The sequence below is a fragment of the Homo sapiens genome, chromosome 1, assembly GCF_000001405.40.
Source record: "Homo sapiens chromosome 1, GRCh38.p14 Primary Assembly".
NCBI lineage: Eukaryota > Metazoa > Chordata > Mammalia > Primates > Hominidae > Homo > Homo sapiens.
In genome coordinates, this window is record NC_000001.11 from 213,511,531 (window position 1) to 213,531,366 (window position 19,836).

Consider the following 19,836-nt stretch of genomic DNA (forward strand, 5'->3'; position numbering starts at 1 on the left):
CCCTCTGCTCCGAATCCCCCAGCAGCCCTTTATTCATTTCAGAGAAATGGCCAAAGTCACAATAAGGCCGGTATAATCCAGACCTCTGGCACCCCTATGTCTTCACCTACTCTCCCTTCTCCAGCTATGCAGATCTCCTTACTTTTCCTCCAATAAACTAGAGACTGTCCTGCCCATGCCTGGATTTCCTTCTGGTTCATAGTTGTTTCTTCAAGCCTTTGTTTAAATGTCACCTTCTCCAAGGAGGTGTCCCTTCACTATTGTCCCTCCCCTGAGCATTCCTGATCCCCCTTCCCTGGCTCTATCATTTTCCAGGCACTTGTCACCTTCTAATATATTATATCATTTACTCGTTTTTATGTTCAGTCTCTCCACTAACATAAGCTCCATAAATGGTACAGAGTTTTGCCCATTTGTTCTCTGATGGATTCCTGCAGCCAGAACACCACCCGCTATGTGTTTAGTAAGACTTTATTGAATGACTAAATGAGCATGTGAGGCCTTGACGAGATAGTGATAGTGATAGCAATAGTCAGCTTTTAATGTTACTCTGACTTCATTTGCACTTTTAGATGGTTATGCTTGGGGACATTCATTCACAATTGTAATGAGGCTCTATCTTCATTCCTGATTGATTTTTGAAGAGTCTGTCTTAAGACATCACTTAAAAATGTCCCTGTTCCTTGTGTCTTTGGAAATAATTTATGGTTTGCAAATCAACATTTAAATGCCCAAAGGAAGATCCTGGCAAGGAACTTTAGAGTGAATATCTTTATTAAGAGAGAAAGCCTTCGGTAACTTGTACGATTGCCGCCTCCACACGTGGAGCCAGAGAAATCAACCTTTAGGAAAAAGCATTCTTGCCCCAATTTGGGGTCTTTTATAAACTGAGAAGACTCAGCCCTTTCTGAGTGGCTGTAATAAAAGTCACACAGCTCTCCCAGCCTGCTACTTAAGAAGCTGTTAATGGCCATCTTATTAGCCCATTAGCAACTGCTTTAGCCCATTAGTCGACAGTTAAGTGGTACAAACTGCTGGAGTTCCAGCAGGATTAGGGTTGGTGGACTTCAGTGCTGTGATTCCATGCTTTGGCAAATTATCTAAGTGGGAAAGGGCAGACTTTCTTATACAGCATTTCCTTGTTATGAGGCACACTTGTGCTTCATTTTCTATCTGGGGTGAAATTTTTATGGCAATCATTTGAGAAGAAGTAGTGTTGTCCTTGTAAACTACAGAGACTCAACTGCCAAAGACCTGACCATTTACCATCTATCTCTAGTTGCCACCCAGCTACCCTGCCAAGACATAGGAATTAGTTCAAAACACTGGTGACAGAGGAGATGTGCCCAAACCTGGAGGGGTGGCCTCTGTGTCAACTGGAAAAAGTCAGCTCACCTTGATTCTTTGATCTGTTTTTTACCTATGGTAGGAAGAATGACCCTCTTAAAGATGAGCATGTCCTAATCCCTGGAACTTGTAAATACGTTATGTTACATGGCAAAAGGGACTTTATGGGTGAGACTGGTCTGAACTATCCTGGTGTGCCCAATGCCATCACAGGTTCTTAAATATGGAAGAGGGAGGCAGAAGAGGAGGTCAGAGTGATGCAAAGTGATGAGACCTCCATGCTGTTGCTGACTTTGAAGATGAAGGAGGAGGGCCATGAGCCAAGGAATGTGGCACCTCTAGAAGTGGGGAAGAGCAAGGGAAAGAATTCGTTCATAGAGCCTCCAGAAAGGAACTCAGCCCTGCTAACACCTTGTTGTTAGCCCACTGAGATCCATCTCTGACTTCTGACCTCCAGGGCTACCAGATAATAAATATGTGTTGTTTTAAGTACCACATTTGTGCTAGTTTGTTATATAAGCAGCAAGAGAAAATTAATATAGTACCCAAGGTGGTCAGGGGACTTTGTAGTAGAACAATTGAAGAAAGAGATAGCACAGTTCCTTCTCTTAAGGGTTTAGGGTGGCAAAAAATAGGCACAAAAAGCAATGACTCTACAACAATTTTTGGAGAGCACACAAACTTTAGCTTTTACCCCAATCTAACCCCATTCTCAGGGATTGATTGCATTAGCAGGAGAGAAGAAACAAATACAAAAGCAAGCAAACAAACACAAACCCCAAACTTACCATTTGAATGCCTGCCATGCACAGCATTTTAGCAGAGGAGGATAAATACATTTATACCTGAAATAACTTGAAACACAAAGATATATGATCAAAAGCAACCATCACAAGAACAAGATAATATTGTACAAAGTGGAGAGGTGGTGCAATGACACAAAGTAATACTGATATGCAGCTTTATCAGTGAACATGCACCATTCCAGCCATCTTAATAGCCATGAATAGAATAGATTCTGTGATGGAATCTTGCGCTGGAGTGCTCACGTGCATTGCCAAGTGCTGTCTCCATGTTGCTTGTGGTTTTTTGATTGTTCTCTGCCAGCACATCCTTTTAATTAGTCCTTTGCTGTTTCAACAGTTTTCTCATTTCCAGTCATTCTTCTGATTCTTTACTGTTCTCAGAATGCCTTTGACATTTCCTGGTTTATTTTGGTCCTAGACTATTTTGACAAATTCTAAAGTGTCTCATTTTAATATCTTTGTGACTTCTCAGCATTCTTACACCTAATTCACAAACTTAAAATCAAATTTTTAGCCTTTGATTAATAAATAAATGCTGAGGAAGGGATATATTTTTTTTATTATACTTTAAGTTTTAGGGTACATGTGCACAACGTGCAGGTTTGTTACATATGTATACATGTGCCATGTTGGTGTGCTGCACCCATTAACTCATCATTTAACATTAGGTATATCGCCTAATGCTATCCCTCCCCCCTCCCCCCACCCCACAACAGGCCCCGGTGTGTGATGTTGCACTTCCTCTGTCCATGTGTTCTCATTGTTGAATTCCCACCTATGAGTGAGAACATGTGGTGTTTGTTTTTTGTCCTTGCCATAGTTTGCTGAGAATGATGGTTTCCAGCTTCATCCATGTCCCTACAAAGGACATGAACTCATCATTTTTTATGGCTGCATAGTATTCCATGGTGTATATGTGCCACATTTTCTTAATCCAGTCTATCGTTGTTGGACATTTGGCTTGGTTCCAAGTCTTTGCTATTGTGAATAGTGCCGCAATAAACATACGTGTGCATATGTCTTTATAGCAGCATGTTTTATAATCCTTTGGGTATATACCCAGTAATGGGATGGCTGGGTCAAATGGTATTTGTAATTCTAGATCCCTGAGGAATCGCCACACTGACTTCCACAATGGTTGAAGTAGTTTACAGTCCCACCAACAGTGTAAAAGTGTTCCTATTTCTCCACATCCTCTCCAGCACCTGTTGTTTCCTACTTTTTAATGATCGCCATTCTAACTGGTGTGGGATGGTATCTCACTGTGGTTTTGATTTGCATTTCTCTGATGGCCAGTGATGATGAGCATTTTTTCATGTGTCTTTTGGCTGCATAAATGTCTTCTTTTGAGAAGTATCTCTTCATATCCTTTGCCCACTTGTTGATAGAGTTGTTTGTTTTTTTCTTGTAAATTTGTTTGAGTTCATTGTAGATTCTGGATATTAGCCTTTTGTCAGATGAGTAGATTGCAAAAATTTTCTCCCATTCTGTAGGTTGCCTGTTCACTCTGATGGTAGTTTCTTTTGCTCTGCAGAAGCTCTTTAGTTTAATGAGATCCCATTTGTCAATTTTGGCTTTTGTTGCTATTGCTTTTGGTGTTTTAGACATGAAGTCCTTGCCCATGCCTATGTCCTGAATGGCATTGCCTAGGTTTTCTTCTAGGGTTTTTACGTTGTTAGGTCTAACATTTAAGTCTTTAATCCATCTTGAATTAATTTTTGTATAAGGTATAAGGAAGGGATCCAGTTTCAGCTTTCTACATATGGCTAGCCAGTTTTCCCAGCACCATTTATTAAATAGGGAATCCTTTCCCCATTTCTTGTTTTTGTCAGGTTTGTCAAAGATCAGATAGTTGTAGATATGTGGCATTATTTCTGAGGGCTCTGTTCTGTTCCATTGATCTATATCTCTGTTTTTGTACCAGTACCATGCTGTTTTGGTTACTGTAGCCTTGTAGTATAGTTTGAAGTCAGGTAGTGTGATGCCTCCAGCTTTGTTCTTTTGGCTTAGGATTGACTTGGCAATGCGGGCTCTTTTTTGATTCCATATGAACTTTAAAGTAGTTTTTTTCAATTCTGTGAAGAAAGTCACTGGTAGCTTGATGGGGATAGCATTGAATCCAAAAATTACCTTGGGCAGTGTGGCCATTTTCGCGATATTGATTCTTCCTACCCATGAGCATGGAATGTTCTTCCATTTGTTTGTATCCTCTTTTATTTCATTGAGCAGTGGTTTGTAGTTCTCCTTGAAGAGGTCCTTCACATCCCTTGTAAGTTGGATTCCTAGGTATTTTATTCTCTTTGAAGTAATTGTGAATGGGATTTCACTCATGATTTGGCTCTCTGTTTGTCTGTTATTGGTGTATAAGAATGCTTGTGATTTTTGCACATTGATTTTTTATGCTGAGACTTGCTGAAGTTGCCTATCAGCTTAAGGAGATTTTGGGCTGAGATGATGGGGTTTTCTAGATATACAATCATGTCATCTGCAAACAGGGACAATTTGACTTCCTCTTTTCCTAATTGAATACCCTTTATTTCCTTCTCCTGCCTGATTGCCCTGGCCAGTACTTCCAACACTATGTTGAATAGGAGTGGTGAGAGAGGGCATCCCTGTCTTGTGCCAGTTTTCAAAGGGAATGCTTCCAGTTTTTGCCCATTCAGTATGATATTGGCTGTGGGTTTGTCATAGATAGCTCTTATTATTTTGAGATACGTCCCATCAATACCTAATTTATTGAGAATTTTTAGCATGAAGGGTTGTTGAATTTTGTCAAAGGCCTTTTCTGCATCTATTGGGATAATCATGTGTTTTTTGTCGTTGGTTCTGTTTATATGCTGGATTACGTTTATTGATTTGCATATGTTGAACCAACCTTGCATCCCAGGGATGAAGCCTACTTGATCATGGTGGATAAAGTTTTTGATGTGCTGCTGGATTCAGTTTGCCAGTATTTTATGGAGGATTTTGGCATCGATGTTCATCAGGGATATTGGTCTAAAATTCTCTTTTGTTGTGTCTCTGCCAGGCTTTGGTGTCAGGATGATGATGGCCTCATAAAATGAGTTAGGGAGGATTCCCTCTTTTTCTATTGATTGAAAAAGTTTCAGAAGGAATGGTACCAGCTCCTCCTTATACCTCTGGTAGAATTCGGCTGTGAATCCATCTGGTCCTGGACTCTTTTTCGTTGGTAAGCTATTGATTATTGCCTTCATTTCAGAGCCTGTTATTGGGCTATTCAGAGAGTCAACTTCTTCCTGGTTTAGTCTTGGGAGGGTGTATGTGTCAAGGAATTTATCCATTTCTTCTAGATTTTCTAGTTTATTTGCATAGAGGTGTTTATAGTATTCTCTGATGGTAGTTTTTATTTCTGTGGGATCGGTGGTGATATTCCCTTTATCATTTTTTATTGCATCTATTTGATTCTTCTCTGTTTTCTTCTGTATTAGTCTTGCTAGTAGTCTATCAATTTTGCTGATCTTTTCAAAAAACCAGCTCCTGGATTCATTGATTTTTTTGAAGCATTTTTTGTGTCTCTATTTCCTTCAGTTCTGCTCTGATCTTAGTTATTTCTTGCCTTCTGCTAGCTTTTGAATGTGTTTGCTCTTGCTTCTCTAGTTCTTTTAATTGTGATGTTAGGGTGTCAATTTTAGATATTTCCTGCTTTCTCTTGTGGGCATTTAGTGCTATAAATTTCCCTCTACACACTGCTTTGAATGTGTCCCAGAGATTCTGGTATGTTGTGTATTTTTTCTTGTTGGTTTCAAAGAACATCTTTGTTTCTGCCTTCATTTCGTTATGTACCCAGTAGTCATTCAGGAGCAGGTTGTTCACTTTCCATGTAGTTGAGCAGTTTTGAGTGAGTTTCTTAATCCTGAGTTCTAGTTTGATTGCACTGTGGTCTGAGAGACAGTTTGTTATAATTTCTATTCTTTTACATTTGCTGAGGAGTGCTTTACTTCCAACTATGTGGTCAATTTTGGAATAGGTGTGGTGTGGTGCTGAAAAGAATGTATATTCTGTTGATTTGGGGTGGAAAGTTCTGTAGATGTCTATTAGGTCCGCTTGGTGCAGAGCTGAGTTCAGTTCCTGGATATCCTTGTTAACTTTCTGTCTCGTCGATCTGTCTAATGTTGACAGTGGGGTATTAAAGTCTCCCATTATTATTGTGTGGGAGTCTAAGTCTCTTCGTAGGTGTCTAAGGACTTGCTTTATGAATCTGGGTGCTCCTGTATTGGGTGCATATATATTTAGAATAGTTAGCTCTTCTTGTTGAATTGATCCCTTTACCATTATGTAATGGCCTTCTTTGTCTCTTTTGATCTTTGTTGGTTTAAAGTCTGTTTTATCAGAGACTAGGATTGCAACCCCAGAAAGGCATGTATTTATTTAAATAGTCTTTGGCATTGTAGTAAGTTCAAAACTGATCATAAGTACCTGACACTGCACATGTAAAAATTCCAGTTTTAAAAAAACCTCCAGAAAAGTCTATGTTGTCGTCATAATGGGTTTTATGATGGCCCCCTAAAATATATGTCCTTGTTCCCCAGAACGTGTGACTATGGTCTCACTTGGAAAAAGTCTTTGCAGATGTAATTAAGTTGAAGTTCTCAAGATGAGATCATCCTTGATTATCCAGTTGGTTCTAAATCCAATAACAATCATCTTCATAAGAGACAGAAGGGAAGACATAGATGGGAAGCAGTAGAGCATGTGAAGATGGATGCAGAGATTACAGTGATGCTGCCACAAGCCAAGGAACGTCTGATGCCACCAGAAGCTGGAAGAAGCAAGGAAGGATCCTCCCCTAGAGCCTTTGCAGGGAGCCCTGACCTGCTGACACCTTGATTTCAGACTTTTGGCTTCCAGACTTTAAGATAATTAATTTGTTCTTTAAAGTCGCTGATGTTATGGTGATTTCTTATGGCAGCTACTCCAAACTAAACATCGTAAAACCTTCAGTACCTACCTGTGACCTGTTAATGTTAACTTTTATAAATTACTGGGCATGGTTTTTGTGAGATCACTGGACCACACTCATCAGCTGGAATGAGCATATGAAAAACCTTGCCCAGCTGAACCTTTCAAAAATACCCTTCAGTGTTATGCATATATAGATGGTAGATATTGATAAAGGAGATAGTGTGTTTTCACATATGTGTATCCATGTGGGGCTGTAGAATGGGGATGAGTTTATTTAGGAAAAGATGATTGTAGGTGAGTTCTGAGGAAGACCTGCACATCTACATCCCAGAGGGAGAAGAAGGGAAGGGATATCTCAGACGACCCATTCATTTTGTAAGAAAATTTAATTACTGGCTCCAGAAAGCATTTTCTCTGAATTTTATATAACAACTACATTCTCAGCAGATAGAGGGAGGTAGACCTTGGGGCAAGCAAGTGGGAAAAATAACCTATAAAGTGTGTTCACAAAATATGACTGTTATTCCACCCTGGAACTTAATAGAAATCCTTTGACTGTTGTTCTGCAGTCAACAAGACTCATCTAATTGGTGACCATGGTAACAAAATCAGGTCATACGGAGGTTCATGCTGAGATCAAGCATATGTAGATCTCCTAGTTCAAATATACACAAAGATAAGAACCTGTTGGTAAGAGTCTGTAATGTTAGATTGAGGATGGGCTCTCCCACACCGAGCTTATAAAACTGAGAAAATGGTCATTTGTTTGCAGTAGCCATACGTTTTGCAGAAAAGAAAGAGGTTTTTCAGATTCACTGGGGGGAAAAGATAATTCAGAAATGTGAGACCAGAATGAGTGCGTAGATGTTGCTTCATAGATCTGTGTAATTTACTCCCTGGGGTTTGTAGTGTGTCTGACTTATATTTTAGACATAATTAAGTAATCAGCAGTGTACATTGTAAAATGAATGTTTAGGCTGCTTGAGGTTAAATTTTCACAGCCATAGCAGCTGCGTGGTACTAGAGACCACCCCTCCCCACAGCCAGATCCTCTCCCCTGCATACAGTCAGTTATTTAAAATCTGTGAATGGGACTAAAATTATTTCCACAGTCACCATTTTTCAGCAGATCTAAAGAGCAGCCACATGGTAACCACTGGATACTGGATGACTGCACTTCATGCTAGTGAGCATTGATTGTCAGCTCTGGCTCAGTAGCTGAAGTGACAATAACAATATCAATTGTAGCATAAATAATACTTTTATTTATGTGGGATCTCAAATGAACTCCAGAAAAGTCTGTGAGCTGGGAAGTTTTTCCCACACTGCAGATGAGAATACTGAGGTGGTGAGAGATTACAGTTTTGAGAGATCACACAGCTTCTGCCTTTTAAATGTGGAATAAAGGATTAACATCTTTATCTTGAGCTATGTATATAAGAGATCCAAACCAATGGTGGTTCTTATTATGTGTCTAAACTCTGTTCTATTCCATTACCTGTCTCCTTCTTGCTCTTAATGACCCTGCCTCTGTGTATTAGTCCATTTTCACGCTGCTGATAAAGACATGTCTGAGACTGGGTTTATAAAGAGAAGAGGTTTAATGGACTCACAGTTCTGGCTGGGGAGGCCTCACAATCATGGTGGAAGACAAAGGAAGAGCAAAGGGACTTCTTACATGGCAGCAGGCAAAAAGAGAGAATGAGAGCCAAGCGAAAGGGGAAACCCCTTATAAAACCATCAGATCTCATGAGACTTATTCACTACCACGAGAACAGTATGAGGAAAACCACCCCATGATTCAGTTGTCTCCCACCAGGTCCCTCCCACAACACGTGGGAATTGTGAGAGCTACAATTCAAGATGAGATTTGGGCGGGGACACAGCCAAACCATATCACTCAGTGACCCTTGGAGGGACACATGGGTAAGAAAGGGACTTAAAAGGGCTCTTTTCTTTCTTTCCTTTCTCCCTCCTTCTGTTCTTCCCTTCCCCTCCCTCGTTTCCTTCCTTTATTCTTTTTATCAGACTTGACCCATACCCACTTTCCTTCCCTACCAAACCCATGAGAAGATAAGGCAAGAAAGAGGACAGGTAGTTGGTGAGGGCTGATTTAGAATGGTTGTCTACTTGCTCAAAGGAAGCACAAACCTAGGGATTCATTTAGGTTTACTGGTGGATTTTCAAAAAGAAGGGTGTGTGCTCTCTTTCTTAAAACAAAATATAACAAACATTTATTTTTAAATTGTCAAATAAATAGTTGTTATGAAAAACATTCAAATGTGAGGGACACATAGTAAGAAAAACATAAAAGTCCTGCCTCTCCATTCCTACTCCCCAGAGTTAACCATTATTGGCCATTTGATGTGTATAGTCTATACCTAGTGCATTGTATATAATATACAGAATATATGATATGAATACACATTTTAAAAGCAAATTATCTTCATTCTATATGCTCTGTTCTACAATTTAGTTTTTTTAACTTAATGATGTATCTTTTCATATTAGTGCATGTAAGTCTACCTTATTATCCTTTAACAACTGAATACTACAGGCATACCTTGGAGATAGTGTGGGTTTGGGTCCAGACCACCACAATAAAGGAAATTACCACAATAAAGCAAGTCACATGAATTTTTTGGTTTCCCAGTGCATATAAAAGTTAATGTTTACACTATACTGTAGTCTATTAAGTATGTAATAGCATTGTCTAAAAATGCACAAACTTTAATTAAAAAATACTTAAAATTGCTAATGGTAATCTAAGCCTTCCGTGAGTCAATCTCTCTACTTGTAGAGGGTCTTGCCTTGATGCTAATGGCTGATGACTGATCAGGATGGTGATTGCTGATGGTTGGGGTGGCTGTGGCAACTTCGTAAGATAAGGTAATAAGGAAGTTTGCCACATCCATTGATTCTTCCTTTCACAAAAGATTTCTCTAGCAGGTGGTACTGTTTGATAGCATTTTACCCACAGTAGAATATCTTTCAAAATAGGAGTCAATCCTTTCAAATCCTACCACTGCTTTACCAACTAAATTTATGTAATATTTTAAATTCTTGTTGTTATTTCAACAATGTTCACACCATCTTCACCAGGAATAGATTTCATTTCAGGAAACCATTTTCTTTGCTCATCCATAAGAAGCAACTCCTCATTTATTCAAACTTTATCATAAAATTTTAGCAATTCAATCACTTCTTCAGGTTCTCTTCTAATTCTAGTTCTCTTGGTATTTCCACCACATCTGCAGTTACTTCCCCTACTGACGTTGCGAGTCCCTTAAAGTTATCCATGAATGTTGGAATCGACTTCTTCCAAACACTTGTTAACATTGATATTTTGACCTCCTCCTGTGAATCACAAATGTTCTTAATGGCTTCTAGAATGATGAATCCTTTCCAGAACGTTTTCAATTTACTTTCCCCAGATTCATCAGAGGAATCACTATCTATGGCAGCCTTACAAAATGTATTTCTCAAATAATAAGACTTGAAAGTCAAATGACTTCTTGATTCATAGGCTGCAGAACTGATATTGTGTTAGCAGACATGAAAACAACATTCATCTATTTGCACATCTCCATCAGAGCTCTTGAGTAACCAGATGTATTGCCAACAAGCAATAATATTTTGAAAAGACTCTCTTTTTTCCTGAGCAGTAGGTCTCAACAGTGGGTTTAAAATATTCAGTTAGGCCATGCTATAAACAGATGTGCTGTCATCTAGTCTTTGTTGTTCCACTGATAGAGGGCAGGCGGAGTAGATTTAGCATAATTCTTTCTTAAAGGGCCTAGGATTTTTAGAATGGTCAATGAGCATTGGCTTCCACTTAAGGTCACCAGCTGCATTAACCCCTAACAAGAGAGTCAGCCTGTGTTTTGAAGTTTTGAAGCCATGTCCTAACTTCTCTCTAGCTATGAAAGTCCTAGATAGCATCTTCTTCCAATAGAAGGCTGTCTTATATACATTGAAAATCTTTTGTTTAGTGTAGCCACCTCCATCAGTGATTTTAGCTGGATCTCTTGGATAACTTGCCACAGCTTCTAACAACAGCACTTGCTGCTTCACCTTGCACTTTTATGTTATGGAGATGGCTGCTAGCTTCCAAATTTTCTTCTAGAGCTTCCTCACCTCTGTCAGCCTTCACAGAATTGAAGGCAGCAGGACCTATTTCTGGATCAAGACTTGGCTTAAGAGAGTATTTTGGCTGGTTTGCTCTATCCGGACCATTAAAACTTTCTCCATATAAGCAAGATGGCTATTTTGCTTTCTTATCATTGGTGTGTTTACTGGAATGGCACTTTTAATTTCCTTCAAGAGTTATTCTTTTCATTCACAACTGGGGTAGCAGTTTGGTGAAAGAAACCTAGCTTTCAGTCTAGCTCAGCTTTTGACATGCCTTCCTTACTAAGCTTAATCATTTCTAGGTTTTGCTCTAAAGTGAGAGATACACAATTTTTCCTTTCACTTGAGCAATTACAGACCATTGTAGGGATATTAATTGGCCTAATTTCAATATTGTTGTGTTTAGGAAATGGAGAGTCCCAAGGAAAGGGAGAGAGATGGGGGAGCAGCTGGTCAGTGGAGTGGTCAGAACACACACAATTTTTATGGATTAAGTTCACCGTCTTACATGGGCACAGTTTGTGGTGCTGTAAAGCAATTAGACTAGTAACATCAAAGATCACTGACCACAGATCACTGTAACAGCTATAATAATAATGAAAAAAGTTTAAAATGTTAGAATTATCAAAACATGACACAGAGACATGAAATGAGCCCATGCTGCTGAGAAAATGGCACCAATAGAGTTTCTTGATGCAGGGTTGCCACAGACCTTCACTTTCTAAAAAATACAATGTCTGCAAAGTACAGTAAAATAAAATGGAGTATGCCTATAATACACAATCTACAGGGTTGTTGTAAAAATAAATCAGGTAATACACAGAAAAGCTTAGCACTGTGCCCAGAACACAGGGTCAATAAATGTTTGCTGCTAATTTTGTTATTGTTGTTGTCATTGTTATCTTTATGACCATTATTTTTTATTATTGGTTTCAAAGTTTAGTGGGGGTTACAGAAATTAATCAAATATAGGCACAGAAAGTGTAATTCAAACTGCTGTAAGTGGTAAGTAAGAAGCTGCATTAGCAGAAGTCACTTACAGTGCTTGAGAGTGAAAACCTGCACCCCGATCTAATCAGGGGATTGGAAAGGGTTTCACTGATGAAAGGGCCTTGGTTGGAGCTGAGAACTGAGAGCTGCTTCTTAGGCATTCACCAGGGAACGGGGGTAAGACTGAGCGAGGCAGACACATGTTGCAGGCAGAGGAGACGGCTTGTCTAACACCCCTGAGACAAGTACAAAGTCACGGCGGGAGGCTGATCCCCCTGAAGATTGTCGGTGACTCCCAAAGAGCATAGGACAGAAAGAGGAAGCCCCGGGAGGCAGGAAAAAGCTGCAGTATGGTCCTATTATGTCAGAATGAGGTTGAGAAAAGACTTTGGAGAACCAGCTTTTCTGCCCATAGCAGGTTGATGGCTGCCGGAGATGCCCAACATAGCTCCACCATGATCTGGAACTCACAAGGCACTTGAGTGCCAGCAGAACCCAGGCATGCTGCCAGACCTGGGAAAAAAATAGTATTGTGCATCTTCTTCCCTGCTCCTCACCATCACCCAGAAAGCAGAGGCCCTGTCTTACCCCAGCCCAGGCAGCTCAGTGGTGCTCTCTGACAAGGTCATATGGATCTCATCAGCCAGGTCTCCCACTCCCCCGAGAAGGAGCAGCCAGCCCCAGCCCCAGCCCAGGGGCCTGAGCCTCTGGCTCAGCAGATCGACTAGCTTCACTTCTGATAGAAGAACTGTGACCTGAGAAACAACACTTGAGACTTTCCTTCCAAGCTTCATCTAAAGCCCTTGGAACCCCTTCTTCTGTCATTGAGGACCTATCTCTCTGGTGTGGAAAGTATGGGCTTCAGAGTCTCAAAAACCAAAGTACAAATCCTGTCTCTGCCATTTACTGTAAAGTCTCAGAATGCTGAGACTCAGTCTTCTCATCTGTAGAATGGAGTTAATACCACCTACTCACAGGACTATCCCAAGACAATAAAAGAGATCATGTGTGCAGAGCACTTCATGCAGTGCCTACCACTTGCACCTGGTGGCTATTCCTATGAAGCATGTCTATTCCTATAAAGTTGTTTGATCTACACAGGGCAAGATCTAATCACCTTGGAAAGGTAGAGCTAACAACCCCCACTTTGAGCCTCTCACAATTACTTCTTACTAAATTATCTCCTATATTACTAGCAGTGTGGTCTTGGGTAAGTTACTTAACGACTTTTTGCCTTTTCTCATTTGCAAAATGTGGATAACAAATCCTATCCTACAGAGTCGTTAGGAAGAGTAAATGGCTTAACATAGGTAAAGTGCGTGACACCCAGTAAATGTGATGATAATAAGGATGATTTTAACCTGAGCTAAAGATTCCTCTGGCTGCTATGAGGGCAAAGTGGAAATAGAAAAACTACTTAGAAGTGTATTGTAATAAACCAGGCAAAAGCTGGTGGCTTGAATCAGGATGGGAACACTGTAGGGGGAGAGAAGCACTTGGATTCTGGGTATGTTTTGAAAGTAGAGAGACAGTATTTACTGAAATATCAGCTGTGGGGGTGTAAGAGAAAGAGAGGAATTAAGGGTGACCCCAAAGTGCAAGGCTTAGCAATCAGAAGGATGGAGTTGCCATTTACTGACTAAAGTAAAGCAGGGTTAGGGAGGAAATCAGGAGTTCTGATGTTATGTGCAATTAGATGTTCAATTAGTGATATCAAGTAGGTGGCTGTATGTAAAAGTCTGGAGTTTAAAGAGAGGTACCAGCTGGGGCTATAATACATTTGTATTTAAAGCCAGGAAACTTAGATAATCTTATCAGAGACTGGAGTGGATAAAGAGAAAAGGTCCCAAGGTAGCCTTCAGACTCTGCCATACTTAGAAGGTGAAGAGAAATCCACCAAGAAAACAAAGATGAAGTAGCCACATGGTAGGAGGAGAATAAGGAGAAAACATTGTCTCAGGTTACAAATGAAGCAAGGGTTTCATGGCAAAAGGAGTGATTATGATTGTCAGCCTTGGCAAATACAGGGCTGATGTCTGAGGATGATAAGGACTGAGGACTGATGTCGCCCTTGGACAATGCATGGGGGCATTGGTTTCTTTGAAAGGGTTTTCTTCAGTAGAGTGGTGGGGGGAAGGCTGAGTAGACTGGGTCCAAGAGAAAGTAAGAGGACAGAAAGTGGAAACAGCGAGTATAAATGACTTATTTAAAGAATTGTGCTGCTGATAGGGAAGAAAGGGTGGGGCTATTCTGAAGGGAGATGTGGGGTCCAGGGAGGGTCTTTGTTGATTTTTAAAAAATGGGAGATAATATGGCATGCTTGATTGCTGGCAAAAATAGTCCAGTAGAGTGAGAAAACTGCAGGAGAACAAAAGGATAATTCTAGGATTGATGACCTAAAATAAGGAAGAGAGGAGGGCACAGATTACTTGGGGGAAATGCAGGTAGATGTAAACGTGTGATCGATTGAATGTTTACATATTCTCTTCCATTTGCAATATTTTCTTAGTGAACCAAGTTTATCACCAGAGAGTCCAGAGGGTTGTTGGAAGGTGGACAGATTTGAGCACATGTGATATTGTTGGTTGGGAGAGAGAGAGCGTACTGGATGAAGGAAGTGTAGTAGACAGGATTGCTGGGCACACTGAGGGCCCACTTGAGCTTGGTTAATCAAGAACTTAGAGTAAGGCAGTTAGCATGGCTGATGTTTCACCCCAGCTAGGTTCAGCTGTCTGGGTGAAGCATAGGAGGGGAGGAGAGTTGAATTTAACTAGGGCTGGAATTTTGCCCAGCAAGTATAGCGGAGGGAGATTAGGTGTGAAAAATGATGGTATGTGTGCTCAAAGAATAAAATCTGTTGGAAAGAATGATAGCTTAGAAATCATTCTGACACAGCGATCCAAAATCTGGGTTTCAGTCCTGATTCTACCGCTAAAACTGTGTGAACCTAAGTCCTCTGCTCCCTGAGCCTCCATTTCCTCATCTATAAAGTGGGGATTGTAATCTACCTCATAGGACAGTTCGGGGGACAGGAAGGATGTAAAGGCAATTTAGGAAATTGAGGCAAAACCTTTATTTGGAAATACTTTTATTAGCCCAATTTGTGTTACTGTTTGTTCTTAAGAGTAATAAAAATTGCATTTATTTAAAACAATACTCCAGATTTTAAAATATTTCTTTAATTTAGACTAGCAATCCTTCCACAATTCTATGATATCCTGAGGTTTTCTGGTACTGAGCCAATTCATTGGATGGCTTAATTGACATCTATTCACAGCCTCACCCCATTTGTCAGAAAGGGATGCCTTGGGCAAGTCATTGGAGAAAGAGTGGAAGGTGCTGTAAATATGAATAAGACTTGGTCCCAAAATTTGAGCAGCTCAAAACCAAATGAATATTTGGAAAGTCTGCATTTGTAAAGCTCGTAGAGGTCCAGAATCACATCTCTTTATCTTGCTTTGCCTGATGACTACCCATGCACAATGCAGAGGAGGAGACTAGTTAGGAGATGGGTCAGGCACTGCTCCTGTGGAAATCTTACAATTTGTAGTGTTTTATGGTTTATAAATCATTTTAAATTCTGGTCTTGTTTGACCTTTGCAATTTTCTGCAAATATATAGAGCCGAGAGGTTTTTAACCTACTTTATAGAACAAGAAAACTGAGGCTTGGCTAGAACCCCAGAGTCAGTAACAGTGACAGTGACAGAGTGTTTCCCAGACCTACTGTCTTTCCATGATCTCATGGGATTTGTGATCACAGTGAGACCAGAACACAGACTTCAGTCCTACAACCATTGGGTGGGTAGCATCATACTAAGGAAGCTTATATGCTATTGGAGAATATGGAGAGTGCTCCAAAGAAACTGAACAAAATTCCCAGAACATTCCCATTCTGCAAATCTTCAGACCCTTTTGATGTGTTCTTTTTTTTTAGCATTTCTTTTTTAAAAATTTTAATTGACACGTTGTAATTGTACATACAATTGACCCTTGAACAACACAAGGGTTAGTGGTACTGACCCCTACACAGTCAAAAATCTGCATATAACTTTTAACTTCCCAAAAACTTAATTAGTAATAGCCTACTATTGACTAGAAACCTTATCAATAATAGAAATAGATGATGAACATACATTTTGTATGTTATATACCATGCTCTTATAATAAAGTAAGCTAAAGAAAAGAAAATGTTAAGAAAACCATAAGGAAAAATATATTTATTATTTATTAAGTGAAAGTGATTCATCATAAAGGCCTTCATCCTGTTGTCATCCCATTGAGTAGGCTGAGGAGGAGGAGGAAGAAGAGGGTAGGTCTTGCTGTCTCAGGGCAGAGGCAAAAGAAAATCCATGTATAAGTGGACCCACACAGTTCAAAGCTGTTGTACTAGTCCGTTCTCACACTGCTAATAAAGACATACCTGAGACTGGGTAATTTATAAAGGGAAGAGGTTTAATTGACTCACAGTTCAGCATGGCTGCAGAAGCCTCAGGAAATTTACAATCATGGCAGAAAAAAAAGCAAACACATCTTCTTTTCATATGGCAGCAGCAAGAAGTGCCGAGCAAAGGGGAGAAAAGTCCCTTATAAAACCATCAGATCTTGTGAGTACTCAGTCACTATCATGAGAACAGCATGGAGGTAACCACCCCCATGATTCAATTAACTCCCATGGCTCCCTCCCACGACACATGGGGATTATGGGAACTACAATTCAAGTGAGATTTGGGTGGGGACACAGCCAAACCATATCAGCTGTGTTGTTCAAAGGTCAACTGTATTCATGGGGGTACAATTTGATCTTTTGGTACAATGTGCTCTTGACACTGGGGAAAAAGAGTAGAAAGAACACTGGCCCCAAATTGCAAAAATGGGTCCTCATTCTGCTCCTTCCACTCTCTGTGTCCTTCTCCTCTTTTCATGCCTTAGTAGCAGCATTGGTAGTATGAGGATGTTGATTTAATGTCATCTCAGATCCTGCCAGCCCTGACTTCTGTGGTTCATCTAGGTCTGCTCCCCTATGCTTGGACAGGGTTTCACCCTGCGTCCTCCAAGCAGCCTCATGATTGAGAAGCCAGAGCGACAAATAAACCACAGTGGGTCTGGTTTACTGAAGTGTAAAGGAAAAATGTTTGGGTGCTGTTATTCATTAGCACTTCAGAAGTCTTCTGGAAAATAACCTGGTGACTTCTGAATCAGGGTAGGAATCAGGTAGGAACTTAATTAAAGCATTCATTCATTCATTCACTCATTCAAGTGATATACGGAAGAGTTTTGACTATGGGCTAGACATTAGGAACGAAACATTGGAACCTCATCCATGAGCAAAATCAGGCACAATTTTTGCCTTTCTCAAGCTTATGATCCACTGGAAGAGACCGACATGAATCAATTAACACAAAGAGTATAAAGTTACAACTGTAGTAAGTGCCATAAATGGGAAGCGCACAGTGCTTTAAGAAAAGATAATGGGGAGGGGGATTTGACTTAGTTGGGGGGATCACGGGAGAGCTAACCAGGCAAAGAAGGAAGAACAATGTTTCAAATGAGAAGTTTATGGAGCATGGAGCCTCCATGGTGGTGGGGAATGGGATGAATTCATGGTCTGTGAAAAGCCAGAGTACAGGAATTGCTGAGAGCAAGGAGAGCAGGATGCAGGATGGGACTGAGATGGAGGAGCCAGACCAAGAGTACTTTAAAAAATGTTTTTAATATGTACATTTTTTTAACCTGGCAATTTCAACTCTAAGAACTGATCCTTGTACAAGTCTTCAAAGTCATACACATACACACAGAAACACAAAGATGTTTATTGAAGCATGAAAATTTGTAACATGCTTAGATATTGTTGATTAAATCCTGGTATATCTCTTGCAATGGAATAGCACTTTTATTCCCATTTCACAGATAGGGAAATTGAGCTCGCATAACTTATTCTGGTTCACCCAGCTACTCAGTGGAGTTGCTAGGCTCTGGATGCAGGCATCTTGACTCCAGGGCTTACTTTAAGCTTCATGAGAGTCAGGACTGTGTGTGTTTTAGCTCACCATTGATCCCTGGCATGGGACTCACAGTAGGAATATACTAAATGTTTTGTGAATTGAATTGATTAGTTTCTGGTAGGCCAATTCTCCTCTGGGTCTCCTGTGGATCTCAAAGCTAGATTTTGCTTGAGATTGGGAGATTCATCCCATCTATTCTATTTTGGCACCTTTTGTACCTCTTAGAGCTTTGGGGGCCCACATTCTATTGCAAGTCCTGAGCGTTCAGGAACAGCCCCTACGAGAATTTTCCTTCACTTCTTTTATTATTATTATTATTATTATTATTATTATTATTATACGATAAGTTTTAGGGTACATGTGCACAACGTGCAGGTTTGTTACATATGTATACATGTGCCATGTTGGTGTGCTGCACCCATTAACTCGTCATTTATCCTCCACTTCTAAGACTAGCTCTTTCATTTTCATCCCTTGGCCCATCTCCTGTTTTTCCATCTCCCCTACCTTAGGAAGCAGACAGGATTTTGCCTGTGCATTTCTTTCCAATATTTTGCTGCTGCTTCTTTTCTTCTTCACCTACGTCATCCAGTACTTAGGGCAGTTACTCAGGGAAATGCCTTGGGCATCTCTGGCATACCTGAATTTTCTCTCAGGCTTTCAGCTATAGACTTAAGATCCTGTTCCTATACATGACATTCCAGCTTCCAGGTCTGTCCCCAACTATGTCACTTAACCTTCAAATTCAATGGGCCTCCACTGATGTAGCTCTAGTAGAGTCAGAGCAGCTAACCAAATAGAGTAGTTCTCATGGCTTCTCATGCTTCTGATGCAGACGAGGCTCTCACAGTTAATAAGTGCATCTGTAAGCATGGCCTCTTCCTGGAATGCATATGGTCCTACTCTCACAAGGGCCTTATAGCAGGAGGTGGACCTGACTCTTGAGGCTGGCACATGAGTGCTGGCCAAACATGAAGGGCAGAGATCCATTAACGTCATGTTTCCCCAGATCTGCTTGCTTGTGGCTTGCTTGAAGCCTCCATCTGGCCTGGCCTGTTTAATTTGAGCTCCTTTCTGCCTCCTGACCTGAGAGCCTGAAGGGCAGGACAAGGCATGCCTCATGTCACCCTCACTCTGCTCAGTCCTGCCACTGATGTTTTGCAGACACTCCAGAATAATGAACAAGAGAATGTCAAGGGCTTTGTGGAGGAATGTCTTGTGTATACAGATTGGACACTTAGATCATGAGAATTCACTATATATGTTCCTTGCTAATTGTTATTTTTTTGAAGCAGCTGTTATGGAGGAGTTAGAATGAAGGAATAGGAAGACATTGCTGAGCTGAGGTGGGGATGGAATTCAGAGCCAAGCCATTATTGGAATGAGGCATTGACATGGTAATGCAGAGATCGAAGGGTGCCTTTTAGAAAGGGAACCCCGGTTCCCTCCTCTCCTGTTTCCATCTCTTTCTTTTCCTGCCATCTGCTGCCACTCCCCGCTGCAACTGTTCTTGAAATTTCTTCTGCTATTTAGTCCCATGACCTATTCCTGGACTGATATCTATAATATAGTTTGGCTCCTGAAACACCTTTCCTATTTGGAATGGAGAAGGAAGACAGGACAGGAGAGGAAACTT

General features: G+C 40.5%; 1 protein-coding gene across 1 annotated transcript in view, besides 1 other annotated feature; it reads left to right on the plus strand.

Moving 5' to 3' along the window:
• Positions 1 to 19,836, plus strand: part of RPS6KC1 (ribosomal protein S6 kinase C1) — an 811,495-nt gene that overhangs the window by 460,290 nt on the left and 331,369 nt on the right. The gene's annotated exons all lie outside the window — the stretch shown is intronic.
• Positions 677 to 1,239: an enhancer, noted in NCBI's record as "NANOG hESC enhancer chr1:213685550-213686112 (GRCh37/hg19 assembly coordinates)". NCBI's record gives its function as "activates a minimal SCP1, AML or CMV promoter by ChIP-STARR-seq in naive H9 embryonic stem cells {active_cell/tissue: H9 hESC(naive)}" and the evidence as "EXISTENCE:reporter gene assay evidence [ECO:0000049][PMID:30033119]".